Below are 18,210 nucleotides of genomic sequence, written 5' to 3' on the forward strand. Positions count from 1 at the left end.
GAAGAGAGTGGGGGCCAATATTCAACATTCTTAAAGAAAAGAATTTTCAAGCCAGAATTTCATATCCAGCCAAACTAAGCTTCATAAGTGAAGGAGAAATAAAATACTTTACAGACAAGCAAATGCTGAGAGATTTTGTCACCACCAGGTCTGCCCTAAGAGCTCCTGAAGGAAGCACTACACATGGAAAAGAACAACCGGTACCAGCCACTGCAAAAACATCCCAAATTGTAAAGACCATCGAGGCTAGGAAGAAATTGCATCAACTAACGAGCAAAATAACCAGCTAACGTCATAATGACAGGATCAAATTCACACATAACAATATTAACCTTAAATGTAAATGGGCTAAATGCTCCAATTAAAAGACACAGACTGGCAAATTGGATAGTCAAGACCCATCAGTGTGCTGTATTCAGGAAACCCATCTGACGTGCAGTGACACACATAGGCTCAAAATAAAGGGATGGAGGAAGATCTACCAAGCAAATGGAAAACAAAAAAAGGCAGAGATTGCAATCCTAGTCTCTGACAAAACAGACTTTAAACCAACAATGGTCAAAAGAGACAAAGAAGGCCATTACATAATGGTAAAGGGATCAATTCAACAAGAAGAGCTAACTATCCTAAATATATATGCACCCAATACAGGAGCACCCAGATTCATAAAGCAAGTCCTTAGAGACCTACAAAGAGACTTAGACTCCCATACAATAATAATGGGAGACTTTAACACCCCACTGTCAACATTAGACAGATCAACGAGACAGAAAGTTAACAAGGATACCCAGGAATTGAACTCAGCTCTGCACCCAGCAGACCTAATAGACATCTACAGAACTCTCCACCACAAATCAACAGAATATACATTCTTCTCACCACCACACCACACCTATTCCAAAATTGACCACATAGTTGGAAGTAAAGCACTTCTCAGCAAATGTAAAAGAACAGAAATCATAACAAACTGTCTCTCAGACCACAGTGCAATCAAACTAGATCTCACGATTAAGAAACTCACTCAAAACCGCTCAACTACATGGAAACTGAACAACCTGCTCCTGAATGACTACTGGGTACATAACAAAATGAAGGCAGAAATAAAGATGTTCTTTGAAACCAACGAGAACAAAGACCCAACATACCAGAATCTCTGGGACACATTTAAGGCAGTGTGTAGAGGGAAATTTATAGCACTAAATGCTCACAAGAGAAAGCAGGAAAAATCTAAAACTGACACCCTGACATCAGAATTAAAAGAACTAGAGAAGCAAGAGCAAACACATTCAAAAGCTAACAGAAGGCAAGAAATAACTAAGATCAGAGCAGAACTGAAGGAGATAGAGACACAAAAAACCCTTCAAAAAAATCAGTGAAGCCAGGAGCTGGTTTTTTCAAAAGATCAACAAAATTGATAGACTGCTGGCCGGGCGCAGTGGCTCACGCCTGTAATCCCAGCACTTTGGGAGGCCGAGGCAGGTGGATCATGAGGTCAGGAGATCGAGACCATCCTGGCTAACAAGGTGAAACCCCGTCTCTACTAAAAATACAAAAAATTAGCCGGGCGCGGTGGCGGGCGCCTGTAGTCCCAGCTACTGGGGAGGCTGAGGCAGGAGAATGGCGTGAACCCGGGAAGCGGAGCTTGCAGTGAGCCGAGATTGCGCCACTGCAGTCCGCAGTCCGGCCTGGGCGACAGAGCGAGACTCCGTCTCAAAAAAAAAAAAAAAAATTGATAGACTGCTAGCAAGACTAATAAAGAAGAAAAGAGAGAAGAATCAAACAGATGCAGTAAAAAATGATAAAGGGGATATCACCACCGATCCCACAGAAATACAAACTACCATCAGAGAATATTATAAACACCTCTATGCAAATAAACTAGAAAATCTAGAAGAAATGGATAAATTCCTCGACACATACACCCTCCCAAGACTAAACCAGGAAGAAGTTGAATCTCTGAATAGACCAATAACAGGCTCTGAAATTGAGGCAATAATTAATAGCTTACCAACCAAAAAAAGTCCAAGACCAGACGGATTCACAGCCGAATTCTACCAGAGGTACAAGGAGGAGCTGGTACCATTCCTTCTGAAACTATTCCAATCAATAGAAAAAGAGGGAATCCTCCCTAACTCATTTTATGAGGCCAGCATCATCCTGATACCAAAGCTGGGCAGAGACACAACAAAAAAAGAGAATTTTAGACCAATATCCCTGATGAACATCGATGCAAAAATCCTCAATAAAATACTGGCAAACCAAATGCAGCAGCACATCAAAAACCTTATCCGCCATGATCAAGCTGGCTTCATTCCTGGGATGCAATGCTGGTTCAACATACGCAAATCAATAAATGTAATCCAGCATATAAACAGAACCAAAGACAAAAACCACATGATTATCTCAATAGATGCAGAAAAGGCCTTCTACAAAATTCAACAGCCCTTCATTCTAAAAACTCTCAATAAATTAGGTATTCATGGGAAGTATCTAAAAATAATAAGAGCTATTTATGACAAACCCACAGCCAACATCATACTGAATAGGCAAAAACTGGAAGCATTCCCTTTGAAAACGGGCACAAGACAGGGATGCTCTCTCTCACCACTCCTATTCAACACAGTGTTGGAATTTCTGGCCAGGGCAATCAGGCAGGAGAAAGAAATAAAGGGTATTCAATTAGGAAAAGAGGAAGTCAAATTGTCCCTGTTTGCAGATGACATGATTGTATATTTAGAAAACCCCATCGTCTCAGCCCAAAATCTCCTTAAGCTGATATGCAACTTCAGCAAAGTCTCAGGACACAAAATCAATGTGCAAAAATCACAAACATTCTTATACACCAATAACAGACAAATAGAGAGCCAAATCATGAGTGAACTCCCATTCACAATTGCTTCAAAGAGAATAAAATACCTAGGAATCCAACTTACAAGGGATGTGAAGGACCTCTCTTCAAGGAGAACTACAAACTAATGCTCAACAAAATAAAAGAGGACACAAGCAAATGGAAGAACATTCCATGGTCATGGATAGGAAGAATCAATATCGTGAAAATGGCCATACTGCCCAAGGTAATTTATAGACTCAGTGCCATCCCCATCAAGCTACCAATGATTTTCTTCACAGAATTGGAAAAAACTACTTTAAAGTTCATATGGAACCAAAAGAGAGCCTGCATTGCCAAGTCAATCCTAAGCCAAAAGAACAAAGCTGGAGGCATCATGCTACCTGACTTCAAACTATACTACAAGGCTACAGTAACCAAAGCAGCATGGTACTGGTACCAAAACAGAGATATAGACCAATGGAACAGAACAGAGCCCTCAGAAACAATACCACACATCTACAGCCATCTGATCTTTGACAAACCTGACAAAAACAAGAAATGGGGAAAGGATTTCCTATTTAATAAATGGTGCTGGGAAAACTGGCTAGCCATATGTAGAAAACTGAAACTGGATCCCTTCCTTACACCTTACACAAAAATTAATTCAAGATGGATTAAAGACTTAAACGTTAGACCTAAAACCATAAAAACCCTAGAAGAAAACCTAGGCAATACCATTCAGGACATAGGCATGGGCAAGGACTTCATGTGTAAAACACCAAAAGCAATGGCAACCAAAGCCAAAATTGACAAATGGGATCTAATTAAACTAAAGAGCTTCTGCACAGCAAAAGAAACTACTGTCAGAGTGAACAGGCAACCTACAGAATGGGAGAAAATTTTTGCAATCTACTCATCTGACAAAAGGCTAATATCCAGAATCTACAAAGAACTCAAACTAATTTACAAGAAAAAAACAAACAACCCCATCAAAAAGTGGGCAAAGGATATGAACAGACACTTCTCAAAAGACACATGAAACAGCCAACAGACACATGAAAAATGGTCATCATCGCTGACCATCAGAGAAATGCCAATCAAAACCACAATGAGATATCATCTCACACCAGTTAGAATGGCGATCATTAAAAAGGAAACAACAGGTGCTGGAGAGGATGTGGAGAAATAGGAAAACTTTTACACTGTTGGTGGGACTGTAAACTAGTTTGACCATTGTGGAAGACAATGTGGCGATTCCTCAGGGATCTAGAACTAGAAATACCATTTGACCCAGCCATCCCATTACTGGGTATATACCCAAAGGAATATAAATCATGCTGCTATAAAGACACATGCACACGTTATGTTTATTGTGGCACTACTCACAATAGCAAAGACTTGGAACCAACCCACATGTCCAACAATGACAGACTGGATTAAGAAAATGTGGCACATATATACCATGGAATACCATGCAGTCATAAAAAATGATGAGTTCATGTCCTTTGTAGGGACATGGATGAAGCTGGAAACCATCATTCTCAGCAAACTATCACAAGGACAAAAAGACACACACCACATGTTCTCACTCATAGGTGGGAAGTGAACAATGAGAACAGCTGGACACAGGAAGGGGAACATCACACACCAGCACCTGTTGTGGGGTTGGGGGAGTGGGGAGGGATAGCATTAGGAGATATACCTAATGTAAATGACGAGTTAATGGGTGCAGCACACCAACATGGCACATGTATACATATGTAACAAACCTGCACATTGTGCACATGTACCCTAGAATTTAAAGTATAATAAATACATACATATATTTTATATATAATCATTTATAATATATAAATGTATCATTTATAATATATAAATGTATCATTTATAATATATAAATGTATCATTTATAATATATAAATGTATCATTTATAATATATAAATGTATCATTTATAATATATAAATGTATCATTTATAATATATAAATGTATCATTTATAATATATAAATGTATCATTTATAATATATAAATGTATCATTTATAATATATAAATGTATCATTTATAATATATAAATGTATCATTTATAATATATAAATGTATCATTTATAATATATAAATGTATCATTTATAATATATAAATGTATCATTTATAATATATAAATGTATCATTTATAATATATAAATGTATCATTTATAATATATAAATGTATCATTTATAATATATAAATGTATCATTTATAATATATAAATGTATCATTTATAATATATAACTCTATCATTTATAATATATAACTCTATCATTTATATATATAACTCTATCATTTATATATATAACTCTATCATTTATATATATAACTCTATCATTTATATATGTAACTGTATCATTTATATATGTAACTGTATCATTTATATATGTAAATGTATCATTTATATATATAAATGTATCATTTATATATATATAAATGTATCATATATATAATATATCATTATATGATACACTATGCTGCACTCCAATATTGGAGAAGTGAATATTTTGAAGGGATATGTATTTTCAAGGGATATATATATCTCTACATATATAAGGATATAGATATATATATCCCTTGAAATGTAGAGATATATGTGTATATACATATATACACCTATACACATAGATCTCTACATGTTTCTTTGATAATTTAACTGAAATTTGCTCTTATTTTAAAAATAAACTATAGTTTACCTGTAAATATACAGATATTAAAAAAAAAAATCACTTGGGAAATGAGACACTTTGAGACAAATGAAAACAAAACCACAACATATCCAAACTTATGAGATGCAGCGGAAGCAATGCTCAGAGGCCAATATGCAGCAGAAAATGCCTAAAAAGAAGAAAGCTCTCAAATCGAAAACCTAACTTTATGCCTATAGAACCAGAAAAATAGCAAACTAAACCCAAAGCCAACAGAGGTATCTAGAGTAATTCATAGAGTCAAAAAAATAGAATGGTGGTTGCCAAGGGCTTTGGGAGGAGCAGAGAGGGACTTGCTATATACTGGAGACAATTTCAGTTTCATAAGACAAAAAAGTTCTGGAGATAGATGGTGATGAAGGCTGTACAACAATGTGATTGTACTTCATGCCACCAGACCATATACTTAAAAATGACTAATGGTAAATTTTATGTTATATTTTACCAGAATAAAAAAAATATACTTAAGAATTATTACTAAAAAAAAAAACAAAATTCACCATAATAAGAAAACACTTCACACCCACGAGAATGGCTATAATAACAAAAATAGAAAATGACAAGTGTTGGCAAGAGTATGAAGAAACTAGACCCCTCAGGTATTGTTGGGGGAATATCAAGTGGTACAGCTGCTGCACCACTTTGGCGTTTCCTCAAAAGTTAAACATAGAATTATCATATGATCCAGAAATTCCACTCCTAGGCATATACCCAAAAGAAGTGAGAACAAGTCCTCAAACAGATACTTCTTACAAGCTCATGTTCCTAGCAGCATTATTCACAATAGTCAAAATGTGGAAACAACCCAAATGTCCACCAATGGATGAATGGATAAACTAATTGTTTAATTTATAAAATTATTTAAATTCACCCATAAAAAGTACTGATACATGCTACAACTTGAGTGACCTCAAAAAATACTAAGTGAAAGAGGCCAGTCACAAAAAGTCACATGTTATATGATTCCTTTATATGAAATGTCCAGAATAGGTTAATCCATAGAGACAGAAAGTGGATCAGTGGTTGCCAGGTGATGGAGAAGGAAGGAATGGAGAGCACTTACTTAGTGACTATGGGGCACTATTGTGGAGTGATAAAAAGGTTTTGAAACTAGCGAGAAGGGTGGTTGCACAACATTGTGAACACATTAACGGCAACTGAACTGTACACTTTAAAATAGTTAAATGTATGTTATCTGAATTTTGCCTCAAAGAAATTAAATCCTAAAATTAATCTAACCATATGCTTGAAAATATTATTTCTGAGCTAAAATAGAGTTATTCTGAGTTATTCTTCCCAACTAGCCTCCAAGCTCCTTAGGGGCTAACTAATTTTGAGAAATGTGTGCAAATTCCGTCTTCCCAACCTCAACAAACAGCACCACTCTCCACCCAACTGCCCAACCTGCATAACTAGAGAAACGCTGGTACCTCTTTCATTCCTCACTTTCCCTCGGCCGGTCTGGCATCACACCCTTCCTGATCCCTCAAATCTGTCTTCTCACTAACTCTACTTCTACCACCAGAGTCCAAGCTACTTTTTTGTTTTTTAGATGGAGTTTCGTTCTTGTTGCCCAGGCTGGAGTACAATGGCACGATCTCAGCTCACTGCAACCTCCACCTCCCAGGTTGAAGCAATTCTCCTACCTCAGCCTCCCAAGTACCTGGGATTACAGGCACCTGCCACTTTGCCCAGCTAATTTTTTTGTATTTTTAGTAGAGGTGGGGTTTCACCTTGTTGGTCAGGCTGGTCTCGAACTCCTGACCTCGGGTGATCCACCTGCCTCAGCATCTCAAAGTGCTGGGATTACCCCTGAACCGCTGCAGCCATTACTAACCAATCCCCCTGGATCTTTTCAAGCAGCAAATCTAACCCGCCAGTCCTTAACATTCAATAGCATCTCACCACTCCCAAAGGTCCTCCAGACCCTGCCTATGTGTCTCCTGCCTCAGCAGACACCCCTCTCCTTTACTCTCTGGGATCGGCCACACAGCTTCTCTTTTAGTCTCTTCCATTTCTTCCTGCTGCACAGATGCTCCCTCTCAAGTACCTAGTACCACGTGATCCCTCCTTTTTGTTGACTTAACTCCTACTTATCCTCAAGAGTCACTTCCTTCAAGTTTGAGTTGGATTTTTTCATTACAAGCTCTCAAGAACCATGTTCCTTTGCTTTAAAGCACTTATCTCATTGATACTTTAAAATTCATAAATATGCCTGGTTCATTCGCTTTTGACTCCTCCATTCGACTGTAAGCTACAGGAAAGCAATGACCACAGTGGTCATTTTCATTTTATCCCCAGAGCCTAACACAGCACTCAGCACATTAAAAAAAAAAAAAAAAAAAAATCTGTCAACATATGTGTTGAGTTACCGAGACTCTAGCTCCCATATGAAAAAGAAGAAAATCTCTTTGAGACTATAAAATAAAGAAAGGAAGATTAAAGATGCAAAGATCAGAACTTTCCCAATATGCAAAATTGAAAACACATGCAAAAGGCCAAAAGATACCTCAAGGTCCATCAACATCAAAACACCAAACCTATACACACAGTCATTTACGTGAGACAGACAGAACCCCAATGACATCTCAGATCTACTTCCATCTGGAAGGATTACAGAAGAGACTATTTGTAATCCTCGATAACAGACACAGCTCTTCTGTGCTGTTTAGCGGTCCTGGTCTAGTCCCATCTCAATCCACTTCTCTGGTGTGCTCTTAAGGCTTCTTTTGGGCATGTACAAAATGCAAAATTATATATTCTCTCTCCCAGTTAGATAATAAGCTGTCTGAAAGCAAGGACTCCCCGCTAATCCTTTCTTTTAAATCTTACAGGCATATTTGCTATACTTCAGAGCTAAAATGGAGAAGAAATATGAAGACAGCTACCATACCCAGAAACTAAGATGGCAAACTATGGGTGGGAAACAGTCCTATGATGTAGGGAAGAGGCTAAGGAACAAAGAAGGATACCCAAGAGCTTCCCAGAACACTCAGTGCCAGCAGCAAGGCCAGGCTGAGGTAATGTCCCCACTCCTCCACTAGGATGAGTCTCGAGCCTGGGTACACAAAGCACACACACGCCCTGGACAGAACACCTGTCCCACATGGCCCTTCACAAAGCTCCTACTTGTGGAAAAGATGTCCACAGGGCAGTTTCCGCGCAGCCTGCATGGAGTCCCAACAGATGGCACAGTCGTCATTGTTGACAGCCAGCTCCTCTGGAGTTGCAACTGCAAACCTGTGGAAACAAAACAAGCCCAGCAGGAACCTCAGTCAGTTCCACACGCACACTAAACACCACTTGATAGACTGCGCCTGTATCACAACACAGTTACAGAGAAAGCATGTTCAGCAAAACATTCTTGATAATCAAAAATATAATTTACCTTCAAAGCCCTTTCAAAAGTGAGTAACTTATGCACAGGAACTTTGTCTAAATAATGGTTGCTAGGCCGAGCGCGGTGGCTTATACCTGTAATCCCAGCACTTTCGGAGGCCGAGGTAGGGGGATCATGAGGTCAGGAGTTCAAGACCAGCCTAACCAACATGGTGAAACCCCGTCTCTACTAAAAATGCAAAAATTAGCCGGGCGTGGTGACAGGCGCCTGCAATCCCAGCTACTCAGGAGGCTGAGGCAGGAGACTTACTTCAACCTGGGAGGCGGAGGTTGCAGTGAGCTGAGATTGTGCCACTGCACTCCAGCCTGGGTGAGTGAGACTCCATCTCCAAAATAATAATAATAATAATAATAATGGCTGCTGTTAGTGAAGACCTCGGAGACCATATCCGGACAAATCAGAGGAGTAAGGCCCCCAGAGATCCAATCTGTGTCCCTGGCCACAAAGAAGAGATCCAAGCTGTCCCCCTGGGTGCAAAGAGGATACCCATTAATCTTGCACCTCCAGGCGTGGCTTAGCCCCAGCTTGGCAAAAAAGTGCCTCCTTCAATGAGGTTAAGTATGTGTGTGTAAACATGCATGTGCAAAGAACTGAGACCCACTTTCAGGAAATGAACAGGGTAGAAGCCCAATGAAGTGTCTATTTGATAATAATGACAATAAAATCATGACAAATAAGAGCCTAATACTGAGCACTATCTGCCCAGTACCATTCTAAGTACATGAATTATCTCACCAAATTCTCCCAATAGTTCAGGCAGAAGGTTCTGTTTTCATCCCTAATTTAGAGGTGAAGTAAATTGCCCCAAATCACACAGCACCTAAGTGGGGATTCACACCCGGGCAGTCTGACTCCAGAGCCTTTCCTCTCCACCACTCTATTAGCAGTTTACAAACATACATTCTGACATACTCTGGGATCTGCTGTTATTAAAAAACTAAAATGAGTAAACTTAGGCAACATCAACTTGTGCTTCCTTACCTGGCCTCCATGTTTCCAACCACACGTAGATAGTTCTTGTGCCGACGAATTCGACGTTGCACCTCATGAAACAGGTAACGCAGCTGCATAAAGATGACCAGGCTGGCCATGGATAACCAGATGTTGCCAAATAACTTAGAGAGAAAGAGAATAAAACACACGGTAAAAGCGAACGTGAACTTGCTAGTGATGAAGGCGCAGTATGCAGCGGAAGCTCTTCACTGTTGGTGATGGTGAACTGCAATGTCTTTCAGAAAGGAAATACACAGATTTATCTCATTACTCTAAACAATGCACATCCTCGTCAGCCTAGGTGCTCCAATGCCAGTCATCTTTCCTGAGAAACTCATCAGAAATGGAAAAGCTTTATGCAAAAAGATGTCTATCCATGCAATTATAAAACAGAAAATATGAAAATGAACAAAATGCCCAGAAGAACAGTTAGGTTGTAAACTCATGTAATGTAAAATTATATAGTCATTAATTTCACTTATTATACTATATAACTACATATTACTATTATATTTGTATATATAACAGTTCTGAAGGTCAATTATGGGAAGATAGTACTAGATAAATGAAAAAAGCAAGATATAACTATCTTTATCAAACTAATACATGATAAAAAATATGTAAAATGTGAAATAGCAAACAACCAAATATAATCTAAATAACCCATTGTGGGATGCGGTTTATTAAATCATGGTACAGCTATCTGATGATATTTTTATCCTGAAAGTATTAAAATGGCTTAGAAGAACTGATGTTAGCACAGGAAAATGTTCATAATACATTAGTTTTTAAAGAACAGAACTATATGTCTAAAATATGATCTCAATTTATGAATGTATGTACTCAAATACATAAAAAGAATCAGTTAAATACAAAATACATAAAAATACAAAATACATAAATACAAAAAATACATAAAAAGAAGCAGTTAAATACAAAAAATACAAGCATGAGGAAAAAAAATTTAAAAAAAGAAGATAAAAAATCTTAACAGTTATCTTTGGCCATTTGTTTGTCCCCTTTTTGAGGGGGGAGGGAGGCTTTTTTTTTTTTTTTGGGACGGAGTGTCACCCTGTCGCCCAGGATAGAGTACAGTGGCGCGATCTCAGCTCACTGCAACCTCCATTTCCCAGGTTCAAGCAATTCTCTGCCTCAGCCTCCCCAGTAGCTGGGATTACAGGCATGAGCCACCGCGTCCAGCCGAGGCTCTTTTTTAAAAAAAAGAATTACATACTTTCTTTAAAAAGTATGTTTTCAAAGTTTCTTTCAAAAAGTAGACTTAGAAATGTGCCACGTCTAGCCCAATAATTTTAAAATGCTACTTGCTAGGCTTATAATTTAAATAAATTGCCCACCAACTATTTTAATTCTCACCATTATTAGATCACTGAAGGGCCAACCAATGAAGCAGATCTACGACACCGTAACGTCTAACATACCAAAGTAAAATGTAAACAATGATGGTAGTAGGAATGTAGGAATTAAGTGTAAAGACTTTTTTTAATTACAAAGATGGAAAATGTATAAATCTGTGAAGTAGCTAACACTGCAGGAATTCCCATTACCACCTACAAAGTACCTGCTAAATATTTAAAGCCATAGAAACTATGGGGAAAGGCAGCTCCTTAATTTCATGCTAAAAGAATAATCTATTGACTTGGTCAGCAGAGTTAACTAAGTCTCCCAGGACAGCAAACACCTCCTGAGTTAGGCACCAGCCAAAGCAGTTCCATGGCACTGCCTTACACCCAGTGGCAAAAAGAGGGAGGGTTTGCAGCCACATTCATTTTTAGTCTTTAAGTAGTCCATCCACATCTTATTTCTAAAGTTTCATTTTTTAATGAAGAAACCATTACTGTTCCTGATTCTGAAAGGCTTGCCCTCTGTTAGAGCTCCTTCTGAGGAAACTTACCAACATGTGAATATGGTGCATGAGGTCCAGGGACAGGAGAGTGAGCTCCATGACAAAGTCTGTGTAATAGACATACGTCCCCTTTCCTTCCCACGTCCCTTCGTGGTTGAGGTCCCAGAGGTGAATTACGTATCTGTAATGAAGAGAGAAAACACCTTAGTAATTTACTGTTACTACTGAATTTGGTTTAACCATGTTGTAATTTAGTCCGATTTTTATATATTTCATACCTGCTACATCTTAAAATCAACTGTATGAGTAGGCCTCCATCACCTCCCTCCCCAATTTCACTCACCGTAAAATCACATGAGCAGTCCTCACTGTCACAAGAAGAGACTATAAAAAAGGATATTTTCTTTTTAGTAAAATGTAGCATTGCTCAGGCCAAACTTTTTATAAAATGATAAAAGACAAACATTTCTCAGTTCAATTAAAAAGCAGATTGTTCAAGTTTACCCATTATTTTATTTTCTCTGCTTCAAATTTCTGTAAAATATTTTTATGACCTAGAAACCCAACTTTTATTGAGGAAAAGTCCTGTTAATAGGTGACAACCAATTACACCTACCCCCCAGGAATCCCCCTACAATCTTGAGGTTTACCCTGGTAGTCTGACCATCAATTCTATTTCACACAGCATTAAGTCACTATCACTGATTACTTAGAAGGGTGATGCTGTAACTCCAAGTATAGTTCAGGTACTGCTATCCTAGACACGAGGACCTGCTCTCTCCCTAGTGCTTTGTGCACTCCCTTTGTCCACCAGCAGAAAAAAGAACGAAAGCAATCAAAAGCAAAATAAGGCCAGCCACATCACACCTTTAATCCCAGCACTTTGGGAGACCGAGGCAGGAGGATTGCTCAAGCTTAGGAGTTCAAAACCAGCCTGGGCAACATGGTGAAACCCCATCTCTACAAAAAATACAAAAATTAGGTGGGCATGGTGGCACGTGCCAGTAGTCCCAGCTACTTGGGAGGCAGAGGTGGAAGGATGGATTGAACCTGGGAGGTGGAGGCTGCAGTAAGCAGAGATCGCACCACAGCACTCCAGCCTGGGTGAGAGAGCCAGACCCCAGACCCTGTCAGAAGGGAAGGGGAAGGGGAAGAAGTGGAAGGGGAGAGGGGAGAGGGGAGGGGGGAGGGGAGGAGAGGGGAGAGAGAGGAGGGGGAGGGGGGAGAGGGGGGAGAGGGGGAGAGGGGGGAGGGGAGGGGGGAGAGGGGAGAGAGGAGAGGAGAGAGGAGAGGAGAGAGGAGAGGGGAGGAGAGGAGAGGGACAAAATAAGTCTCTCATGGCTTTTTTTTTTTTTTTTGTAGAGACAAGGTCTTGCTATGTTGGCTAGGCTGGTCTTGAAGGGTATTTTTTTTATTACAGAAATTGACGGCCAGGTACAGTGGCTCACACCTGTAATCCCAGCACTTTGGGAGGTCGAGGCAGGCCGACTGCTTGATCTCAGGAGTTCAAGACCAGCCTGGTAACATGGCAAAACCCCATCTCTACAAAAAAATCAAAAATTAGCCAGGCATGGTGGTTCATGCCTGTGGTCCCAGCTACTAAGGAAATGAGAGGATCACTTGAGCCCACAAGGTGGAAGTTGCAGTAAGCAACTGCACTCCAGCCCGGGCAACAGAGTGACACCTTGTCTCAAAAAAAAAAAAAAAAAAAAGATATTTTTCATTAAGAAAAAAAGTCCTCTTAATCTAGTAGAATAAAACTATTACATTATTTATGTTTTAGATTAAATTCCCATTTGTAAGTGAAAAATATTTTACAGGAGAGAGAAACACTATGAATGTAAGAAATGATTTAGTTTAAAATATCAAATCTGTAATATGATAAATTATCTTAAAAGAATAAACAGTAACAAGCTAAAATAAAAGTATATACTATAGTATGAGCTGACGGGCCTAAGTTAAATGTGCTTATTTTTAGGTATACCCTTTTCAAAGTTTGGATAATATTATATTAGTTGAAAGTTAGAGAATCAAAAAAAGGCAAACATAAGTATCATTCTAACTTTGCAATAAATCTAAAGCAAATAAGTCAGTGTAAATGGATTTTTCAACAGATTTTCTGTCAAGACGAAATACGGTTGTATATTTTTCATATACAGAAGTATTCACCTAAGATTACATATCTTATTATTTATATTAGGACTATTGTATTTTAATTACAATATTATAATATGATAATTAACATTATGTATTTAAATGTTTCTTTTCTAATTTTACTTACACTACTAAATGTACTCAAAAATGAATGCTATCAAACAGAAATAAACTTTAACTCTGCTCTACCAAATTCCCAATGAGTAGTTCAAATGTAGTGTTTTGATATTAGCCAATTAGCTTCAGTTTATCTAATATCTCATTTTTTAATTAATAATACTAATTATGGGTAAGATAAAAGTATTTTGCCTTTGGCCTGAAGAAAAGGCAAATATAGCCATTAAATATAAGGACATACAAACAATTTTTATTTCTTTTTTTTTTTGAGATGGAGTCTCGCTCTGTCACCCAGGCTGGAGTGCAGTGGCGCAATGTCTGCTCACTGCAACCTCCGCCTCCCGGGTTCAAGCAATTCTCCTGCCTCAGCTTCCCAAGCAGGTGGGACTACAGACGTGCGCCACCACGCCCAACTAATTTTTTTTTTGTATTTTTAGTAGAGACAGGGTTTCACCATATTGGCCAGGCTGGAGAATTTTTATTTCTACTGAACAGAAATTGGTATTTTCAGAAAGGTTTAAAAGAGTGAAAAATTTTTAAATCTTAAAATATTCATGAATAGACCAGATTTTTCCTTCAAAATGATGAGTACAGTTTATTCATTATTTTGTAAAATCTTTATACCCTACGTAAAGAAAGAGTTACATAAAATACCACACAAAAGCATTCAGTACCAGTACCCAACACACAAAAAGGAACTGAAATGCTTGTTAAAATGAAAGACCAAATATCCACCTGTCATTTCATGGGTGAAAATAACTTGTCAAACATCCAGCTTCCTTGAAAACAGACAGAAATACAATCTGAGCAAGTCCTGCATCCAGTATCTCACCTCTGCAGCCATGAAAGCCAAGGTGTGCATTCCGTGGGTGTAGCCGGTGATGGAGCAGACGGCCGCCAGTCCACAGCAGGAAAGCAGCATGGCAACCAACAGGGACAGGACTCGACCGTGGCTGCTCATCGGCGTGGTGGGCGAGAAGGAAAGCTGAAATGCACACAGTAGGAAACTGCTCATTCTTCTTCATGGAAGTGTTAAACTTCACTGAGAAATTCAAGGTCAATCTTGGCTTCTCTGCTTAGGGTTCTGTGCTAAGCACAGAAAAGCATCCCATTACTATATGGTCCTATTCTCCAATAACCCAAATATGAGCATGAGGTGATATTTAGAGATCCGTGTCATTTAATTTACTGAGTATAACAATATGCATTATATTTTCATCCCTTACTCTCAAAGATCCTCCTAGCACTGGGATTATAAACCTCTAGAAGCAATGTTCCGAGGGTATACAACTCTCTCCTCTCACCTTCAACAGGACTCAGGACAGTGCCTGTTCTGTTCTGTTTCTTTCTCAATCTTGCTCTAGTCCTCCTCTCTGAAATTGGCATTCCTAGTCTATTAGGGCTAGCACAATTGAAATGCAATCCAGGCACAGGTTTACCACTACTACAACGTGATGTCAGCATTATGCAAGGAGAGGCAACAGTCTGAAAAGAAGGCCTAGAGCTGCAACTCCTGAGGTCACAGGCGGAGATTAAAAAAAACAGTTTGGGAGGTTAGAAGCTCCTGTTTGTGACTTCAAATGAGGGTTGAATGTGAAAGAAATAAAGGCTGTGAGAGTGAGATTAACTCAAACCAAGGTGCAAGGTCCATGTGGACTGGGTAAAGACAGGGAAAAACAAGGCCCTGGAGCGGGTTTAACTGAGGGGCAGCACTGTAGATGCACATTTATCTGGGACTCATGAGACTACTTCAGGTCACTAATGGGTTGAAGGTTCACTCATACAGCTATGATCTGAAACCAAGTGACAGATCTTGTACCAGACATAAAATGATTCACTTCGCAAACAAGGAAGCTGAGGGAGCTAATTCAGTCCTGGCCCGGGGTGGAAATAGTATAAACTACTCAGAAAGAAGAGCTCCACGAACCAGAGTAAGCTGGGAGAGACAGAAGGAGACTAGAACAGAAAATATCTAGAAAAGACCAGATTTTATTGTTTATGTATCAAGGTTTCCTTGCACTGTGAACAAAACAGTCTGCATAGGTGAAGTGACCCCATGTTAGCAGTAAGTAAACACTATGGGGTTGGGAAGAAAGCTCCCCAGGAGACAACGATTCTGCATCTCTTGGCTGCTGTAGAAAGTTCTTCAAGAAACAGGCAATGGGGGCCTGATCTAGAAGTCTTCCCAGAAGAGCTACCCTGACCATGCCTGCTGTGGCTCATTCACATTACACAATTCAAAGTTGGCAAACGTGGTGACTAAGCAAGCAAAAAGCTTGGCTAAAAACTCACATATTCAAATCGATCCTTGCAGAGCTGAACCATCAGGTGCAGAAAGACAAGTCCGGCAAACCAGAGGCACCACATGACCACCTCTTCCACTGTCTGGACATTCAGCACACCAAAGATGAAAATGAACTTGTAGAAAATAAAATTCCAAAATTTGTCTTTGAGATGCTAAAAAAGAAAAATGTTTATGAAGGTGAGTACCATCACACCTACCCCATTTGAGGGAAGTTACCATAACAAAAGCCGGCTTCTATGGAAGATATATTCTGCACTTGGCTTTCTAATACTTGTCCTCAAGAAAACAGAAAAAAAAAAAAAAAAAAAAAAAGCAGCCATCTGAAGAATGGAGGTAAGACACCCAGAAACTAATCTGTAAACTTTGGACTATAACCCTAAATCAATTATGGAATGTTAGCTATTCAAAGGATAGCGATATTAGTTTAGTAACTTATATATTAAGAAATAGGCCAGGCGCAGTGGCTCATATCTGTAACCCCAGCACTTTTGGAGGCTGAGGTGGGTAGACAGCTTGAGCTCAAGAGTTTGAGATGAGCCTCGGTAACATGGGGAAACCCCATCTCTACCAAAAAAAAAAATACAAAAATTAGCTGGGAATGGTGGTGCACACCTGTAGTCCCACCTACTCAGGAGGCTAAGGTGGGAGGATTGCTTGAGCCCAGGAGGTCAAGGCTACAGTGAGCCATCATCATGCCACTGCACTCCAGCCTGGGTGACAGAGCAAGACCTTCTCTCAAAAAAAAGAAAAAAATGCTTACATTTTTAATGCACAATGAAAAAGAATGGCAAGGGCTATCATTTTTACTACTTCTACCTTCCAGATTCTTACACAATAGAAAAGATTAGACTTTGTAAAAAAAATTCTTCAAATTAAAAAATAACACAACACAACCACTTGCCAGCCCATAATAAAGGCGGCATAAAAAGTACAAAGAAAATGAAAAATGCTGCCTTAACATTTTTATGAATTTTCTTGTCTTTTCCCTATGTACAAAACACATTACTTTTTGTACAATGCTTTCTTTCACCTATTGTATTGTTAGAACCTTAACAATGTCAATGAATATTCTCTGAATATACCAATATACCGTTTCAATGGCTAAAGATGGACACTGAAACTGTTTTAAAATTTTCACCACGCAAAAAAAACATTATAATGAGGGCCGGGCGTGGTGGCTCATGCACGAAATCCCAGCATTTTGGGTGGCCAGGGCAGGCGGATCACTTGAGCCCAGGAGTTCGAGACCAGCCTGGGTAACATGGCAAAATCCTGTCTCTACTAAAAATACAAAAATTAGCTGAGCATGGTGGCACAAGCCTGTAATCCCAGCTACTTGGGAGGCTGAGGCATTAGAATTGCTTGAACCTGGGAGGTCGAGGTTGCAGGGAGCCATGATCATGCCACTGCACTCCAGCCTGGGCAACAGAGCAAGACTCTGTCTCAAAAAAAAAAAAAAATTGTGATGAATATTTTTGTATGTATCTTTGTATGAGTTACTTCAGCACTGTCAAATCAAAAATTGCAAAGATTTTTATGGTTTATAGTAAAATCTACCTAACTTCCAAAGCAGTCCTGTAAGTGTACATTCCCATGGGCAGTGTGTATGCATATTTGCTTCACTGTACTCTTTTACACAGAGGGCTTCCAGTTTTAACAATCTTCACTAACCCTGAAATAGGAGAGCAATAAGGAGGGTCTAGTTCCCCCACATGTTAAAATAGACTATCAAGCCGTCTAGGGGGGTCAGGGAGAACTGACTGAAGAGGATAAGAATGGAAGCATGATTCTAAGTATACTTTTTTTTTTTT

The 18,210-nt window shown here is 39.0% G+C and overlaps 1 protein-coding gene across 4 annotated transcripts in view; it reads right to left on the reverse strand.

Annotated features, from left to right (window-relative positions):
- Positions 1 to 18,210, reverse strand: part of AMFR (autocrine motility factor receptor) — a 64,094-nt gene that overhangs the window by 31,586 nt on the left and 14,298 nt on the right. For all 4 annotated transcript variants that reach the window (NM_001144.6, NM_001323512.2, NM_001323511.2 and 1 more), the window contains exons 3-8: positions 16,387 to 16,551; positions 14,927 to 15,079; positions 12,167 to 12,207; positions 11,872 to 12,004; positions 9,948 to 10,081; positions 8,696 to 8,806 (exon numbers count right to left, since the gene is read on the reverse strand). In NM_001144.6, coding sequence (NP_001135.3) covers positions 8,696 to 8,806; positions 9,948 to 10,081; positions 11,872 to 12,004; positions 12,167 to 12,207; positions 14,927 to 15,079; positions 16,387 to 16,551 — 737 coding nt within the window. The remainder of the gene's footprint in view (positions 1 to 8,695; positions 8,807 to 9,947; positions 10,082 to 11,871; positions 12,005 to 12,166; positions 12,208 to 14,926; positions 15,080 to 16,386; positions 16,552 to 18,210) is intronic.

The sequence above is a fragment of the Homo sapiens genome, chromosome 16, assembly GCF_000001405.40.
Source record: "Homo sapiens chromosome 16, GRCh38.p14 Primary Assembly".
Lineage (NCBI taxonomy): Eukaryota > Metazoa > Chordata > Mammalia > Primates > Hominidae > Homo > Homo sapiens.